The sequence below is a fragment of the Homo sapiens genome, chromosome 1, assembly GCF_000001405.40.
Source record: "Homo sapiens chromosome 1, GRCh38.p14 Primary Assembly".
Classification (NCBI taxonomy): Eukaryota; Metazoa; Chordata; class Mammalia; order Primates; family Hominidae; genus Homo; species Homo sapiens.
Genome location: NC_000001.11, coordinates 112,411,114 through 112,430,160, shown reverse-complemented (window position 1 = coordinate 112,430,160; position 19,047 = coordinate 112,411,114). Strand labels below are relative to the sequence as shown.

Sequence of the window (19,047 nt, the reverse complement as noted above, 5' to 3'; positions counted from 1 at the left end):
GCTAGCTTTTATATATGGGGTTTGATGTTTTTCTGAATGGAGCAAAGACATTTAATCGCTTAAGAATGCAGTCCTTTTTTAAATAAATAGCCAATTTATGAACAACTAACACATATGAATAGCCTGTCCTGTACCTTTTGGCCCTTTTCTGCTAGAGTACTCTACCACTGAATCTGGCACTTCCCTCTTACTAATTTCATGCTCTTCCTAGAACAGATTATTAGAAGAGTTCCTACTATTCTCAAGAGAACCAAGCTAAAAGGAAGGAAGAGGCTTTGTGAGATGTATTTCTGGCTTCACCAGTGGCAACTTAATACTGCCTTTTTTTAAGAATTTAGTACAGTGCTCTGTGACTTTCTTTCTTTATTATATATAAAGATCTTTCATTTTATTAGTTTCACAGTATTTTATTCTACAATCATACCATAATTTACTTGACCAGAACCCTAATAAGAGACACTAAATTGTTTCTAGCATTTTGTTTCTATGAATTATGCTGCAATGGGTATCTTTACACATATACTTCATTGTGTAAAGATTAGCTCTAAGAACATTTGTATTGTAAAGGCCTAAGGACATCTGTAGCAGAAATTTCTAGAAGTGAAATTTCTTCTAGATACATGCATTTTTTTAAGAAAGAGGTAAGGTCTTGCTATATTGCCCAGGCTGGAGTACAATAGCTATTCACAGGCAAAATCATTTTGCATTAGAGCTTGGAACTTCTGACCTCAAGTGATCCTCCTGCTTCAGCCTCCCAAGTAGCTGGGACTATAGGCAAGTGCCACCATGCCTGGCTCTGCATTTTTAAATTTGATAGATATTGCCAAACTCTCCTTAACCAGTTGAGGACAACAATATAGGAGAGTGCCAGTTTCTCCTCACCTTTACAGGTACAGTTTTTAATGAAACACATTTTATCTCTTATGGTCAGATCCCATAGTTCATTTAGCTGAGCACAGTTAATCTGAAAATAATATGTTAAATTACAAGAGATGAGCTCCAGGATCTGCATGTAAAATATCAACTTCACAAGGGTACAGAGAATTCAACAACATATCACACATAGAAACACTCTGAAAACCATAGAGGGCTATATACAATGCTAGTTCTTGTTAAAGGAATAAACTTTGGGAATAGCTTCTGATTCCATAGCTTAGCAAAATTCTTTTAGAATTTTATAAGAAACATACCTAAATAAATCTTATTTCCAGTCTCAGGATCTGGCAAGATGAAACAAAGTGAAATCTTGCCACTATAAAACAAATTAAGAAATTAAAGGAAGTGCTTTAGACTAATGTTTTTCAAACTTTGGATCACAGCTCATTAGTGGATCATAAAACTAGTCTAGTGGGGTCATAATCAGCATTTAAAGAAAAATGAAGTATAACAGAAAATATTACAGTACAGTATGGTATAGTATAAATATTATAGTATAGTAAAACACAAAGTAAATTCTAGTGAAATTTTGGTTTTAGTTAATATACGTATATGGGTGTGTATATGTATCCTGGATTGTGGTGAAATGTGAAATTTATTTCAAAAATGTTTAAAAGACAACTCTTTAGACTGTGGTATGATAAAAAGGTCTTTATTCAAGTCTTCTTTTTTCTTCCCCCAAACTCTGCAATCTTTTTACTGGATAGTCTGGAAATTTAGGTTGGTTTTTTAGGCAGATTCAGTTGAGTTATTTCAGGTGGGTTGGAAAGAAATAATATTAACTTAATATCAGGAACAACCAAAAAAGAAGAATTTAACTGTAGGTCTGATTAGCTCTAATTTATTTTCCTACAAAGTGAATAATAGAAGGCTAAAGTATCTTCTTTGGGCAAGAATGTTAATAAACTGAGAGTTGAGAAAAAAATGTGTTGTACAAGATTATTGTTACTTAAAAAAATCAACATTTCTGAAATAAAAGTAACTAAGATATAAAGCAGAAGTTCTGAAGAAAAAATTAAAATATGCATATGATTCTACTACCTAGGGCCAACCACTATTAACACTCAAACTACAAATTTCAATGTATTTGCTTGAGTCTTTTATGTGTGTGTATGTGTGTGAGTGTGTGTGTGTGGATACATATATATATAAATGCTTATAATTGAGATTAAAGGATATATTTAATTTTGTCCTAGGAACACTACTATGTCATTAAACGTTCTTCATATGCATCTTATTTTAAAATGGCTTCATAATGTTCCATCATGTGGATATACCACCCAATTCATGTAGCTATTAATAAAGGATTTACTGTTTTTTTTTTTTTTTGAGACAGAGTCTTGCTCTGTCCCCCAGGCTGGGGTGCAGTGGCGCGATCTCGGCTCACTGCAACCTCTGCCTCCTGGGTTCAAGGGATTCTCCTGCCTCAGCCTCCCAAGTAGCTGGGACTACAGGTGCATGCCACCATGTCTGGCTAATTTTTTTGTATTTTTAATAGAGACGGGGTTTCACCGTGTCAGCCAGGATGGTCTCGATCTCCTGACCTCGTGATCCACTTGCCTCGGCCTCCCAAAGTGCTGGGATTATAGGCATGAGCCACCACACCCAGCAGGATTTACTTTTTCTGAAGACTTAATTGCTAGATCAAAATAACTATGTTATCATGGGTTGTCTGAGGGGTAATTGGAAGTTAACTTATACAAAATGTTTCGTAAATGGATTTTTATGTAAAATCATGTCAACTACAGCCACTCTCCTCAGTAGGTGTCCTGAGATTAGTAAATTCAGTAAAAGAAACAAACCCTGAATTTTTTTACCCAAAAGTAAAACGGAGAAGCAATACTATGTTTACTTATTCTTCAACAACTGACTCTGGAGCAGCATTCAGAATATAGGGGATGTCACCTATAAACACAATCCCCTTTAAAATCAATCTTCTTGTGCTCCCAGATTAACGAGAAAAAATGCCTTCGGAAAAATACTAAAGGAATGGTACATTTTGATGTCTATTTCCTAAGTGAGCCACTAAAAATCAATTTAAATGGTTTACCATAAAAGGAGCCTTTAAGATTGTTTCAAATAAATTATTTCTGTTATTCCTGGGAAAGGGGTAATAATATTCTATCAGGTATAAAAATTCACACTTTGTATTTTTGTCTTTGGAAAAATGATCATAAGAAGCCAATAAAATATTAAAACCAATAAAAGACAAAGGAAAGTTGCTTTAAAGGAGAGGAGTTCATAAAAGCAGTAGAGGTATTGTTTATTCTGTTGAAATGTTTATGATTTTTAAATTACTATTAAGTTTTGCCATGGGGAGGCCAGGTGCGGTGGCTCAACCCTGTAATCCCAGAACTTTGGGAGGCTGAAGTGGGCAGATCACTTGAGGTCAGGAGTTTGAGACTAGTCTGGCCAATATGGTGAAACCTTGTCTATAGTAAAAATACAAAATTAGCTGGGTGTGGTGGTGGGCAACTGTAATCCCAGTTACTCAGGAGGCTGAGGCAGGAGAATCATTTGAATCCAGGAGGCAGAGGTAGCAGTGAGCCGAGATCATGCCACTGCACTCCAACCTCAGTAAAGGGCAAGACTCCGTCTCAAAAAAAAAAAAAAAAAAAAGTTTTGCCGTAGGGAAAATGATTTAATTACTGGACTCTACTCAGCAAAATTTTACTTTCTTTTCTTTTTTCTTTTTTTTAGAGATGGGGTCTTGCTATATTGCCCAAGCTGGTCTTCAACTCCTGGCTTCAAGTGATCCTCCTGCCTTGACCTCCTAAAGTTCTGGGATTACAGGTGTGAGCCACTGTGCCCAGCACAGCAAAATTTTAAAAATTAAATTACAGAATTTAGTTTCTAAAAAGCAGCAGAATAAATCTGAAAAAGCTACTCCACATCACTCTACTTGATCTCAGAGAAGGTCAATAAAAAAGGGGATGAAGCTCTCTTTCACACAATACTTCAGACACACAACAAGGACATAAAAATTTTTATGCTTTTAATGGGTACAGAAAAAGCATGACAAAATCCAGCATCCATTCCTAATAAAAATTCCCTGCAAATTAAAAATACAAATTTCCTTAATCTGATAAACAGCATTTGCAAAAAACCTACGGCCAACAACTTGACAGACTGAAGGCTTTCTGGGAAGAAGACACAGATATCCCCATCATTTCTACTTGACATTGTACTGAAGTTCTAGCCAATGTAGTAAGACAGACAGACACACACACACACACACACACACACACACACACACACACACACACACGGCATCCAGATTAGAAAGAAGTAAGTAAAACTGTCCTTATTTGCAGACATAATTGTCTGTAGAAAATCCAATGGAAACGACTGACTGATTGATTGAGCCAGGGTCTCATTCTGTCTCCCAAGTTGGAGTGCAGTGGTGCAATTATAGCTCATTGCAGCCTCAATCTCATTAATTCGATCAAGTCTCCTACCTCAGCCTCCCTAGTAGCCGGGGTTACAGATGCACGCTACCATACCCAGCTAATTTTTTTTTTTTTTTAGACAAGGGGTTTCACCATGTTGCCCATGCTGGTCTTGAACTCCTGGACTTGAATGATCCACCCACGAAGGCCTCCCAAAATACTGGGATTATAGGCATGAGCCACCGTCGTGGGCCCCCATGAAATTTATTTTAAAAGCTACTGGAATTAATAAGTGAGTTTATTAGCATGGTTGCAGGATATAAAATCAATGTATACAAAAATCAATTTTATTTCTTTTTTTGATGGGGATGGAGTCTTGCTCTGCTGCCCAGGTTGGAGTGCGGTGGCGCGATCTCAGCTCACTGCAACCTTTGCCTCCCAGGTTCAAGTGATTCTCCTATCTCAGCCTCCTGAGTGGCTGGGACTACAGGCGTGTGCCACCTCGCCCGGCTAATTTTTGTACTTTTAGTAGAGACGGGGTTTCACCATGTTAACCAGGCTGGTCTTGAACTCCTGACCTCAGGTGATCTGCCTGCCTCAGCCTCCCAAAGTGCTGGGATTACAGGTGTAAGCCACCGCACCTGGCCAATTTTATTTCTGTAAAACAGCAATAAACAATCAGAAATTAACATTTAACAAACAATACTGGCTGGGTGCAGTGGCTCACGCTTGTAATCCCAGCACTTTGGGAGGGTGAGGTGGGAGGATCACTTGGGTCCAGGCCAGGAGTTCGAGACCAACCTGGGCAACACAGTGAGCTCCTATCTCTCTACCAAAAAAAAAAAAAAAAAATTTAGCTGGGCGTTGTGGTGTGTGCCTGTAGTCCTAGCTACTTGGGAGGCTAAGGCAGGAGGATCACTTGAGCCTGGGGCTTGAGGCTGCAGTGAGCCATGATCATGCCACTACACTCAGCCTGGGTGACAGAGTCAGACCCTGTCTCAAAAAAACAAACCAAACCAAAACAACAATAACAACAAAACCCAATACCACTTACAGTATCATCAAAAGTGTGAAACACTTAGGGTAAATCTGACAAAAAAAATGTGAAAAAGCTATACACTAAAAGCTACAAAGCACTGCTGAGAGAAATTAAAGACAACCTAAATAAATGATGAGATATAGCATATTCATGGATCGAAAAACACAATGTTGTTAAGATATGAATTCTCCCCAAATTGATCTCTAGATTCAATACAATCCCAATCAAAATCCCAACAGGATTTTTAGGGAAATTGGCAAGCTGATTCTATTCATATGGAAATGCGAAGGACCATAAATAAGTAAAGCAAGTTTCAAAAAGAATACAAGTTGGAGGACTAACACTAATTGATTTTAAGTTACCACAAGGCCACAATAACCAAAACAGTGTGGTACTGGCATCAAGGTAGACAAATAGATCAAAAGAACAGAACAGAGGGTCTAGAAATAAACACATGAATATATGAATAACCGACTGACAAAGGTGCAAAGACCATTCTAAAGAGGAAGGATAATCTCAACAATTGGTGCTAGAACAACTGGACATCTATATGCAAAAAAACAAAAAATGGATCCATGCATTGTACTATATAACAACATTAACTGAAGATATATCATAGACTTAAGTGTAAAACTTAAAACTATGAGACTTATAAGAAAAACAAAAAACAAAAACAAAAACAAAAAAACAGGAGAAAACCTTTCTGACCTTGGTTTAGGCAAAGATTTCCTAGATATAACATTAAAAACAAAATCCATAAAAGAAAAATTGATAGGCTGGGCACGGCGGCTCATGCCTGTAATCCCAGCACTTTGGGAGGCTGAGGCGAGTGGGTCACCTGAGGTCAGGAGTCCAAGACCAGCCCGACCAACATGGTGAAATCCTGTCTCTACTAGACACAAAAAATTAGCCGGGTATGATGGCATGTGCCTGTAATCCCAGCTACTTGGGAGGCAGAGGCAGGAGAATCACTTGAATCCGGGAGCCAAAGGTTGCAGTGAGCCGAGATCGCATCACTGCACTCCAGCCTTGGCGACACAGCGAGACTCCGTCTCAAAAAACAAAACAAAAAAAATTGATAAATTGGACTTCATGGAAATGAAAAACTTTTGCTCTTCAAAAGATACAGTTAAGAGAATGAAATGAGACAAGGTTAAGTATCTTTTCTTAAGATACAGTTAAGAGAATGAAATGAGACACACTTAAGTATCTTTTCTTTTTTCCTGTCTACAAAAGATGCATTTTTTTTTCCTGGTCTAGATTATGGCTGGGTTTTTATTTATTTAAAATTTATTTTTTAACTGATAAAAAATTGGAAATATTTATAGTGTGCCACATGATGTTTTGAAATATGTATACACTGTGGAATGGCAAAATCGAGCTAATTAACATATGTATGATCTTACATACTTATCATTTTTGTGTAGTGAGAACATTTAAAATCTACTCTCAGTGATTTTTGAAGTATACAATACATTATTATTAACTATAACAGTTAAGTATCTTAACTGTAAAAAAAATAGAGTTAAGATAATGAAATAAGTCACAGACTGGGAGAAAATATTTGCAAGGCATATATTTGATAAAGGACTTGCATCCAGATATATAAGAAACTCTCAAAACTAAATAATGAGAAAACAAATAACTTAAAAAAAATGGGCAAAAGATTTTAACAGATACTGCATGCACCAAAGAAAACAACACAGGCCAGGTTGGTGACTATGCCTACAATCCCAACACTTTGGGAAGCCAAGGCGGGAAGATCGTTTAGGGTGAGGAGTTTGAGACCAGCCTGAGCAACATGGTGAGACCTCATTTCTACTAAAAATTTTAAAAATTAGCCAGGCATGGTGGTGTGTGCCTGTAGTTCCAGCTACTGGGGAGGCTGAGGCTGGAGGATTGCTGGAGCCCAAGAGGTTGAGGCTGCAGTGAGCCATGATTACACCACTGTACTCCAGCTTGGGCAACAAAGTGAGATCCCATCTCTAAAATAAAAAAATACAAAAACAAACAAAAAAACATAATACAGAGAGCAAATTAGCAAATAAGCACATGAAATGATACTTAACATCAGCCAACAATAATATGCAAATTTTAACTATAATGAGATATTACACACCTATAAGGATGGCTAAAATGAAAAAGATTGGCTATACCAAGTTTGGTGAGGATGTGCAGCAACTGGATATATCTGTGGAATGTAAAATGGTACAATCGCTTTGCAAAACACTTGGGCAGATTCTTAAAAATTAAATACACATCTATCATATGATATAGCCATTCAATTTCTAGCTTTTATTCAAAAGAAATAAAAGCATATATCCACACAAAGCCTTGTACATGAATGTTCACAGCAACTTTAATTATAAAGTCCCAAATTAGAAACAATACAAATGTTTATCAACAGATAAGTGGATAAAACAAAACCGTGGTATATACATATAATGCCAACACTATTAAGTAACAAAGAAGAAATGAGCTATCAATATACACAACGACATGAATAAATCTCAAAGTAATTATGCTGAGTGAAAGAAGCCAGGAAAAAATAGAGTATATTCCATATGATTCCACTTATATAAAATTTCAGAAAATGTAAATAATTTCTGATGACAGAAAGCAGATCAGTGGTTTGGGGTAAGGGGCAGAGAGTAGTGGGGAAAGTTGAGCAGGAGAGGTCACTAAGGGGCATAAAAATTTTGGGGAGCAATGGATATGTTTGTTATCTTGATTGTGATAATGGTTTCTTGGGGAAACACATATCAAAACATCAGTATGCACATATCAAATAATACAGTTTATCATGCCAATTATACTTCAATAAAGCTGTTTTAAAAAAACAAAATAAGCTGCATCAAACAATGGAATAATAAACAAATCAATGAAAAAAAATCTGCTACGAAGGCTTCTGCATTATCCCTGTATTTCCTGTTTTCATTATAAAGAGAAGGAATTAAAACATCTGTTCCATGCACCAGAGTACACCCTTAACCTTTGCTGTCTCAAAATACATGCTTTTGGGTGTGTGGATGGGAATGGGTCACCTCAAAACTGTCAATTCCCATAAGAAAAACAAGATAATGTCCAAGTGCCACTAATAACAACAAAGATTTAATTGAGAAGAACTGTCATTTTCCTATTATCAGTATTTCTTTCTTCTTCTCCTTTTTTTTTTTTTTTGTAGAAATGGGGGTCTTGCCGGGCACAGTGGCTCATGCCTGTAATCCCAGCACTTTGGGAGGCCGAGGCAGGTGGATTACGAGGTCAGGAGTTCAAGACCAGCCTGGCCAACATGGTGAAACCCCATCTCTACTAAAAATACAAAAAAACTAGCCGGGCGTGGTGGCGCACACCTGCAGTCCCAGCTACTTGGGAGGCTGAGGCAGGAGAATCGCTTGAACCCAGGAGGCAGAGGTTGCAGTGAGCTGAGATTGTGCCACTGCACTCCAGCCTGGGCAACTCCGTCTCAAAAAAAAAAAAAAAAAAGAAAAGAAATGGGGGTCTCATTATGTTGCAAAGGCTAGACTCAAACTCTTAGCACTTCAGGCTAGGAGTCCGAGTCTAGCCTTGGCAACATAATGCCTCCTGCCTCGGCCTCCCAAAGTGCTGGGATTAATAGGCATAAGCCACAGTGCCTGGCCTTATTAGTATTTCTTGCTTTATGGAATGTATCTTTGTTCCTAAATGGATGGATGGACTTTGAACCTCTGTTCTAATAATAATAACCAACAGTAAATGAGCACTGAGCACTTCAATTAGCATTTGCTATCTCATTTGGTCCTCGTAATAACCATAACATTTTACCAATAAAACTTACAAGGTAAAATAATTGGTCTAAGATCACACTACAATTGAGTGGCAGAGCTCAAACCCTAAAGTCTGTCTCACTTGAAAGCTCACATTCCTAACAGCTACACTTAATTGAATGTTCTGGTTGATGGTTTTGAAGAGTGCCTAGTAATTATCTTTATGTTTCTTTTTTGAAAAATCAGGAATCCATGTATAAACTTTACTCAGAGAGAGCAGGAATAGGCTGGCACGGTGGCTCATGCCTGTAATCCCAGCACTTTGGGAGGCTGGGACAGCAGAACTGCTTGAGCAGGAGTTCGAAACCAGCCTGGGTAACATGGCAAAACCCTGTCTCTACAAAAAATACAAAACTTAGCCAGGTATAGTGGCATGCCCCTGTAGTCCCAGTTACTCAGGAGGCTGAGGTGGGAGAATTACTGAAGTCCAGCAGGTTGAGGCTGCAGTGAGCTGCTCACTCCAGCCACTGCACTCTAGCCTAGGCGACAGAGTAAGACTCTGTCTCCAGAAAAAGAAACAGAGCATAGGAATAAAAATAGCCACTCCAGGCTGGGTGTGGTGGCTCACGCATGTAATCCCAGCACTTTGGGAGGCTGAGGTGGGTAGATCAGGAGTCAGGAGTTCAAGACCAGCCTGGCCAATACGGTAAAACCCCATCTCTATAAAAGTATTAAAAAATTAGCTGGGTGTGGTGGCGCACGCCTGTAATCCCAGCTACTCGGAGGCTGAGACAGGAGAATCACTTGAACTCAGGAGGCGGAGGCTGCAGTGAGCTGAAACCATGCTATTGCACTCCAGCCTGGGCAACAGAGCGAGACTTCATCTCAAAAAAAAAAAAAAAGCCACTCCAACTCTAAAAAACATATTAAAATGTGGCCACAAATGGTCACTGATTAATTCATTAACGTTTTATAATAAAGGTTATGAATACTGTAAATATAAAAACCTTATAACTCAGTAACCTAAATAAAGTTCTGCTCCCACCCTAATATCCCAGTTGGGAACTAGACAGAAATTGGACTTCTGTCAGTTATAGCTTATGTTCATGTGTTCATGTGATCTTTATCAATGATCGAAACCACCCATCCCAATCTTAAAAGCTCTTCCTAAAAACCATCTATTAAAATGGGATCATTTTTGGCCAAAGAACTGTTAGGTCCAGGCTTATGGGTGCCAGAGAATGTTTCAACTTGAGTCCGTTTAAGACTTTCAAAGATCTGTTATCAAGCAAGCTAATATCTGATTTTTTTAAAAAATGCAAACTCTCTTCACAGGCTTATTAGTATGTATGGTGATTGCTAAGTTCAATTTTACGTTTTTCATTTCAGACCAGTCTTTATAATAATCTGCTTCCATAATAAGTACAAGGCCGTGACCAAAGGCAGATGTTAGGCTATGGACTTATAGTGAACTTGCATTGTTATTTTTTTTTTAATTTTTGGTGCCACAACTTGGATACAACTGAGGTTGCTGCAGGCACAACACAGAGTACTAACCACTATATGATCATAGCTGTGATGTTCTTAAGCCACAGCACCTTCCATGGTAACTTTTGTTTTCTATATTTTGGCACTGTCATTAGATCCTTATGATTATTTTTTCAATAATATTTTCAGTGAAAGTAAATTATTTGTTTCAACAAAGACATAACATTTCGATTTTTTCATTTTAACCCTTTGTGGCTGAAAAAACTCACAACAGTTAAACCTATAGAATGATGTATTACATAATCTCATACTCTAAATATACTTCTAACTTTGTCATGTCTACAACATTTTTGCCTGTAAATCTTCTTGCTTGGGGGATTTTGCAACAGCATTTGGCCAAACACAACAAAGTTCTATCCTCGGTTTTAAAAGAGGATATCCCTATTTTATGATTGAGGCATCAATGGAAACGAATTCAAGACTCCTTAAGTTAATCGCACATGAAAGCTGTAATATTTCACCATTTATCATTGTATAGATGATTTAAAGAATGCTTTAAAATAAAGCAATACCAATAAATGCAAGGTGGATTCTATTTAGTCACAGAAGCCATTTAGTGTGGCTTTGCATCAGATCTAAGATGTGCAGATGTAATATACCCGATGTGGAATATTCAGAAATAAACTATTTAATCTAAATTTTATTAGCAGTCAAATCTATTTTTCAGATTTTTTAAAATGGCCATTGATTAACCTTCCTTTATTCTCCTCTGAAGCAATCACAGCCTATGGTAGGAAGCCATTTACTAGATTTGCTTGGAATTAATGAACTGAGGCTTTCCTGCTGAACTATGTGGTTCCACTCTCTGCTTCCCCCAGACAGTTCATGAGCAATGTAATTTGCTTTCATTGTAGAGGGTATTCCTTTGGTGTTCTTATTCATGAAATTAAAGTAATAAAAGGGAAAGACGTTCATAAAGAAGTTTTTTTTTTTCTGACATGATTCCTTCTAAAACAGAAAACCACTTTAAATAAAATTTAATTAGGACCAAATATAGTATAGGTCCCCTCCATAACAATTAGATTTGAAATATACAAGACACTGAATAATGTGTTACATTATTTTCTATTGGCTTTCCCTGGTTCTATGCCAAACATGTCTTGGCTGCAATAGAGAGTGAGTGAGGAGGATTCTGGGAAGAAAAAGAACGTAATTATGGGGGGCTCTAGAAGAGTATAGCTGCAATCTGGCACTTTGCAGAAATTTTGGAATAGGAATGTAGCTCTTTTACAATTCTAACTCTATAGGTGAGGTCAACTTACAGCCTATGGGAACTTTACAACATATCCTGAAAGAAACTCAAGCCTTGCCAAAGAAGTGACAGTAAGCCATATGGTTTTGTTTAGAGATATAAGATTAAAGAACAGATTTTATGTCCAGACAAAAATCTATTTTGAAGCTAGGGAGAAAATAAAAAGATAAGCTTTTTTTTACTGGAGACAAAACAGAAAAGAAAAACAAATCATAACTATTTAGAACAAAGACCAAAACCTTTTCAACCGACTAAGCATCAATTAAGAACCAATATTAAAAGGAAGAAAATTGGTAAGTTGCCATAGTAGTTCATAAAGTCCAACAGGTGTTTATTGTTAAGCAAAAACGATACAAATAATGCAGTAAAATCCTGATACATTGGAGAACCAAAACAAATAACAACAAAAAACCCCCCAAAACTCCATAAATAAAATGATACTTCAGTTTAAAGAATGCTATGGCAGTTACTTTTCTCAAACGATTGAAACAATTTTAATCCCGGCTGCCCCCTATTTTATCTAACAATAGATTGTTTAAAGATATGTCACTTCTGGTGAAGTTATTCATTTCACCTAAACTGCACAGAGTTAAGCCTCAGAATAATTTTATCACCTACAGACCATATGCAGACTAAATACAACACTTGTGCCTGATTCTGAATGGTATCTTATATCAAAATGCTCCCTTAATTTTAGCTCTTGCTTCTCAAGCTTCTCTCTCAACTTATCAGAACTGCCTATAGTAACCAAAATTGGATTCATGAAGAAAAAAATATATTTTAGGAAAACATGTGCAAAAAGCATCTAAGCATCTGTTAACATTAAAACCAGAAGGCAGTATGTGCTGCAGAGTACATAAGAAGAGGCTTTAAAATTTAGTAATTCACAACATCCACTTAGAAGTATTATAGTAATCTTTTAAAGTAACACACCACAATGGTACAATCATTTCATTTGTTCAACAAACATTTACTGAGCATCTACATGCCTGGCACTATGCTGGGTGCTGAGGATACAGTGATTAGTAAATAGACACATAAAGCACTACAGGTTTGTACAGTTTCTAAGGCTGAAAAGCAGACAGGTTATCTCGGTAAAACTATAAAAGAGAAAACGAGGTCATCCTCTGATTTTTCCATTAGAGGCAGCTGTTACCTCCACTCCTATCCTAATTATGAAGGGATTGAGACAGATGATAAATGGGGCAAAGAAGTGAGACTAACAATAGGCAATTAGCAGTGACAATTAGAAATGGGCTAAAACTACCAAAAGAATTCTTAATCTGGGGTCCAGGGAATCCGTGGATGTTTTCATGGGATCCTTGATCTCCCAGATATTATATTTCAAATTTTGATATATGGATGTATGTACATTTATTAGGAAGTTGCTCTTATCAAGTCTCAAAGGGGTCAGCGTTCAAAAACAGCTAAGGGCCACTAAACTAAAAGAATGAAATTCTGCCGGGCGTGGTGGCTCACACCTGTAATTTCAGCACTTTGGGAGGCTAAGCGGGGGCGGATCACCAGGTCAAGAGATCAAGACCATCCTGGCCAACATGGTGAAACCCTGTCTCTACTAAAAATACAAAAATTAGCTGGGCATGGTGGTGTGCGCCTGTAGTCCCAGCTACTCAGGAGGCTGGGGCAGGAACTTGAATGCAGGAGGCAGAAGTTGCAGTGAGCCGAGATAGCGCCACTGCACTCCAGCCTGGCGACAGAGTGACACTCCGTCTCAAAAAAAAAAAAAGAATGAAGTTCAAGGTCTAGACATCAGATCGAGAAACTAAGGGAACTATTTTGAAAACAGAAAGGTTTCACCAGTGTCCCTAATAACACACAATGTAGGTGGCTACCTATGGCAAGTATCAGTATGTCCTCCATTTAATTTCAATGGAAACTGCAGAAATACCTTAGTTAAATAAATTAAAACTAATGAATGACTTTCACAATGTATGATGACCTCTTTTTTTTTTTCTTTTAACATACCTTTAAGGCTTCTATAACAAGGTCCCTTGCTTCAAGCTCTCCTTCAAGAATACTAAATAGTGTCAGGAGTTCAGGCTTGCTGAGTTTTTCCAGATTCATCTTGAAAGCCTGAAACAAAGGTAACAATCAGACAATCTCCAAAGACATAGTTAATTTGATACAATTAAAGAAAAAATAAAGTGAGAGATAAGAGCAATTATAGTATCAAATGCCTTAATAAAGGAAATAGTTGAAATTAAATAGAAATATGTTTTCTGGTGTTAATCACAAACTAAGCAACAACAGAAAGTAAAATTCACTTTAATTATTGATTTCACTACCACTCACAAAGATCAATTTTTCATCATATTTCCTCCAGACACGTTTACAAACAAATATCCTAGGAAATCTCAGAAAGAATTAGCCGCTAGGGCTGGGTGCAGTGGCTCATGCCTGTAATCCCAGCACTTTGGGAGGCTAAGGTGGGCGGACCACGAAGTCAGGAGATCGAGACCATCCCGGCCAACATGGTAAAACCCTGTCTCTACTGAAATACAAAACATTAGCCGGGCATGGTGGGGCACGCCTGTAGTCCCAGCTACTCGGGAGGCTGAGGCAGGGGAATCACTTGAACGCGGGAGGCAAAGATTGCAGTGAGCCGAGACCACGCCACTGTACTCCAGCCTGGGCGACAGAGTGAGACTCTGTCTCAAAAAAAAAAAACCAAAAAAAAAGCAAACAAGAATTAGCCACTGATTTTTCAGGTAAAATTGTGTTATAATGAATACCATTTCTCTGAAAAATTGATAGACCATCAAAAGATTTCCCAGTTTTAGATAACCAATTTCCAAAACTGTATATAAAACATTCTGATATCCCTCTTCAATTGGTTAAAATAAAATTCGGGAAAAGAGATAATGTTTGGTGGGAGTATGGGAGAAATTTTTCTTTTAAATTGTCTGCTTTCACAGACAATAGCTAACACAATATTTATATCTTGTATAGTAAAATAGACTTAATTCAACTATATGCAAACTTACTTTTAAATGAATTCTCAAAGTATAGGGTTTAAACATCTTTATTTTTTTTTGTTTTAAGACAGGGTCTTGCTCTGTCACCCAGGCTGGAGTGTAGTGGTGCAAACACGGCTCACTGCAGCCTCAACCTCCTGGGCTCAAGTAATTCTCCCGCCTCAGCCTCCCAAGTAGCTAGGATCACCGATACATGCCACCACGCCTGGTTAATTTATTTTTTATTGTTTGTAGAAATGGGGTCTCCCTGTGTTGCCCAGACTGGACTCAAACTCCTGGGCTCAAGTGATCCTCCCACCTTAGCCTTCAAAGTGCTGGGATTACAGGCATGAGCCACTGTGCCAGGCCTGTTTAAACATCTTAATTGGCTAGGCTACCAAAAACTGAATTTATCTGACTTGGTAAGTTCACATTTCTCTGAGAATCTGCATGTTCCAAAGTATGTTAAATGGCAAATTGCATGACACAAACTCAATCCTTTCTACAACACTAATTCTCACAAACCACATAAAGATACAAGTTAGACTGCTGTACAATCTTGGAAGAGCCTTCTGACCAGTGTGTATGGTAAGATATATTTTATAATTTCCAAAGTAGAACAAATATTTCTCTCTCCACTTTTTATTTTCAAATTGCCACTCTTATGGAAAGTGAATCAAAACATGACCAGTTCACACATCCTCCAGTAATTTATCACTCTTTTTAATTTTGGGGGGCACACAAAAAAAGAATTGATTCCTTCCAGAGCTACTGCTTTTAAGTGAACATGTATAAAATGCATACTTCACTTTGTTGTTAGATTGTGTTCCAGGACATGCTGTCCAAGTCTTTTAAAGCATAGTAAAACATCTTCGATGTAACCTCAGCTCTAACTGCTAATTTTCTTTTTTTGAGATGGAGTCTCACTCAGTTGCCCAGGCTGGAATGCAGTGGGGTGATTTCGGCTCACTGCAACCACCGTCTCCCAGGTTCAAGTACTTCTCCAGTCTCAGCCTCTGAGTAGCTGGGATTACAGGCAACCACCATCACGCCTGGCTAATTTTTGTATTTTAGTAGAGACGGGGTTTCACCATGTTGGCAAGGCTGGTCTTGAACTCCTGACCTCAGGTGATCCGCCCACCTCAGTCTCCCAAAGTGCTAGGATTACAGGTGTGAGCCACCACACCTGGCCTTTTTTTCTTTTTCTTTTTATTTATTTATTTTTTTGAGACAGAGTTTTGCTCTTGTTGCCCAGGCTGGAGAGCAATGGTGCAGTCTTGGCTCACTGCAACCTCCGCCTCCCGGGTTCCAGCGATTCTCCTGCCTCAGCCTCCCAAGTAGCTGGGATTACAGGCACATGCCATCATGCCCAGCTAATTTTTGTATTTTTAGTAGAGATGGGGTTTTACCATGTTGGCCAAGCTGGTCTCCAACTCCTGACCTCAGGTGATCCGCCCGCCTTGGCCTCTCAAAGTGCTGAGATTAAAGGTGTGAGCCACCACGCCCAGCCTCTATTTTCTAACAAGTGAATTTCAGCAACTAGTAAATGACGTTCACTTTAGTATCAGGGATATATCTGATAACATTTATTTTAAAAATAAAAATAAAAACTAAAACAAAACTAAACAAAAAAATTCTAACAAACCTAATAAAGCTACACTTTATTAGAGGTTATATTGGAAAGAACATGTAGCTTGGTAGTCAGATGCCACATCTGCATCTTCCTAGTTGTGTGACTGGGCAAGTTATCTGACTCCGTTTTCTAATCTGTGAAAGGGGGATGATGATATTTAACTCATAGGGCTGCTATGAAGATTAAGTTAATAAATGTAGAACATCTTACCACATTGCTGATACCTGGTTTCATTATTAGTAACTATTATCCTGTCTCATTTTTCAAAAGAATTTAAGAAAGGCACTATCAAAAACTGCAGACAGCCAAGATCGATGACCTCGGAAATAACTTCAGTTGCCCTTTTGCAATTGGGAAGTCCTTCTTGGTTCTAGTTTAAGCTTCTAAGTAAAAACCAAGTATTATTTGTTAGATTCTAATAAAATAAAAATAAGAGGTACATATACAAAGAACTAAATTATATTGTACTTAAAGTGTTCGATATGTAAAATGAAACAAAAAGTCTTTGATCTGTTATGATAAATATACATCCTTATAAAAGAGTAAAATTAAAACAATCTTCAGAGTCACTTTAATTACAAAACAGTCCAGCCTAGGCAAGAAAAAGTTCTATTCCTTGTCAATGACAAAGAAGAATTCTTTTATTATCTCTGTGTTTATAAATCACTTCTGCACACAAATGTTAATAACTGGAACATTTCACTAATATGTCCCAACTCGGCTAGGCATGGTTACCCACACCTGTAATCCCATCCCAGCACTTTGGGAGGTGGAGGTGGGAGGATCACTTGAGGTCAGGAGTTTAAGACCAGCCTGGCCAACATGGTGAAACCCTGTCTCTACTTAAAATACAAAAAAATTAGCCAGACGTGGTGGTGCACACCTGTAGTCCCAGCTACTCAGGAGGCTGAGGCAGGAGAATCGCTTGAACCTGGGAGGTGGAGATGGCAGTGAGCCGAAATCACGCCACTGTACTCTAGCCTGGTTGACACAGTGAGACTCTGTGTCAAAAAAAAAAAAAAAAAAAAAAAAAAGGTACCAACTCAGCTTAGTGTCTACATGAACACAATATAAATATTACACAGGAGGAAAGAAAGGCCACTGCTGTGTAATGTAAGAACCAACAGATCTGTTTTTGCATATTCCAATAACCACCATTTATAAGTATTAACATTTAACAGTTCCTTCTGTTCTATGCATTTGAATGTAATCTCAATATATAGACACTGCAATAAATTTTTGCCTGAAATATAAAAGAATGACAGTAAAATTGCATTAGATTTTAGGATAGCAGTGATATCCTTGGAGGTAGGGGTGATACTGACCTGATAATCGGCAGAGTCACACTTCAGTCCTCAAGTATAAACTTACAGTTTTCTTCAGTAAAAAATTGGGAAAATTGCCAAATATATTTAAAATGCCATTAGCATGGTGGAAATGTGTCCAATGCTGCAAAATAAGGAGAAATTTATTGTTCATGTGATTATACTATAAACAACTTGGTAAATCCCATTAACGTCAACTGTCATCGCTGATGAGGTCTGACAGCTGCAGGTTGATAATGACAAGAAAGAAGAAAACAGCCAGTTCTTCAAGTTGAAGTTGAATAATATATGAAAAATACCAGGAATCTGACTTCCCTTTTGCAACTAAAATAAGGGAAGGTAGAGGCTTTTGAGATCTTTTCCACTTTAAGATGTCCACTGCCATTTTAACTTCTGACTTTTCTCTTCCTGAAATGACAAAAACCTATTTGCTTGAATCACCATGACTTAAGCACAACGCACTTAGATTTAGCCGGGCGTGGTGGCGGGTGCCTGTGGTCCCAGCTACTCACGAGGCTAAGGCAGGAGAATGGCGTGAACCCAGGAGGTGGAGCTTGTAGTGAGCCGAGATTGTGCCACTGCACTCCAGCCTGGGCGACAGAGCAAGACTCCATCTCAAAAAAAAAAAAAAATCATAATTACAACGGAAATTTTTAAACTGCCAAATTCATATAAGGAAAATTCTCATCTCCTCACCTCCCAACAATCCATAAACAAACAAATCAGCCTCTTAGCATCTCGACTTTGTCTATAAAGGCTGATTACACATCCCCACAGTCTATAAATCTGAAATAAAAACCACTTGTAGACAAATTGTGTGGATACATTATCATACACTGTGGTATAGACAGCTATAGCTGTATATATTTTTCACATTTATGATCAGATGTTAAATGTTAAATTATATGTAATTTTTTGTTTATGATTTCCTAACAGTGTATTAGACCCAGCAAATTTTATTAAAAATGATAGGCTTTAAATTTTATTTGATAAAATGTAATCTTTGCCTTTTATTTTAAGGCACTAAGTCTGAAAGCCCATTTGAGTTGCTGAAACCTAACAGTCAAATGGGGACAGTGTCAAAGGAAGAAATAATGCTGCAGTAAGTCCTTGGTTGCTTCATTAAAACAAGAATCAGTAATTAAACTAATTACAGATCTCTCAAGTTAGGACAGGAAGTATGAATTTGTTATACAGTCAAGAA

The 19,047-nt window shown here is 37.7% G+C and overlaps 1 protein-coding gene across 4 annotated transcripts in view; it reads right to left on the bottom strand.

Annotated features, from left to right (window-relative positions):
* Nucleotides 1-19,047, bottom strand: part of CTTNBP2NL (CTTNBP2 N-terminal like) — a 70,078-nt gene that overhangs the window by 31,004 nt on the left and 20,027 nt on the right. For 3 of the 4 annotated variants that reach the window (XM_017001806.2, XM_011541781.3, NM_018704.3), the window contains exons 2-3: nt 17,844-17,967; nt 13,897-14,004 (exon numbers count right to left, since the gene is read on the bottom strand). In XM_017001806.2, coding sequence (XP_016857295.1) covers nt 13,897-13,995 — 99 coding nt within the window. In that variant the 5' untranslated portion in view covers nt 13,996-14,004; nt 17,844-17,967. Of the gene's footprint in view, nt 1-13,896; nt 14,005-17,843; nt 17,968-18,305; nt 18,455-19,047 lie in introns of those variants that run through there. The other variant, XM_047425362.1, reaches the window with a different exon arrangement.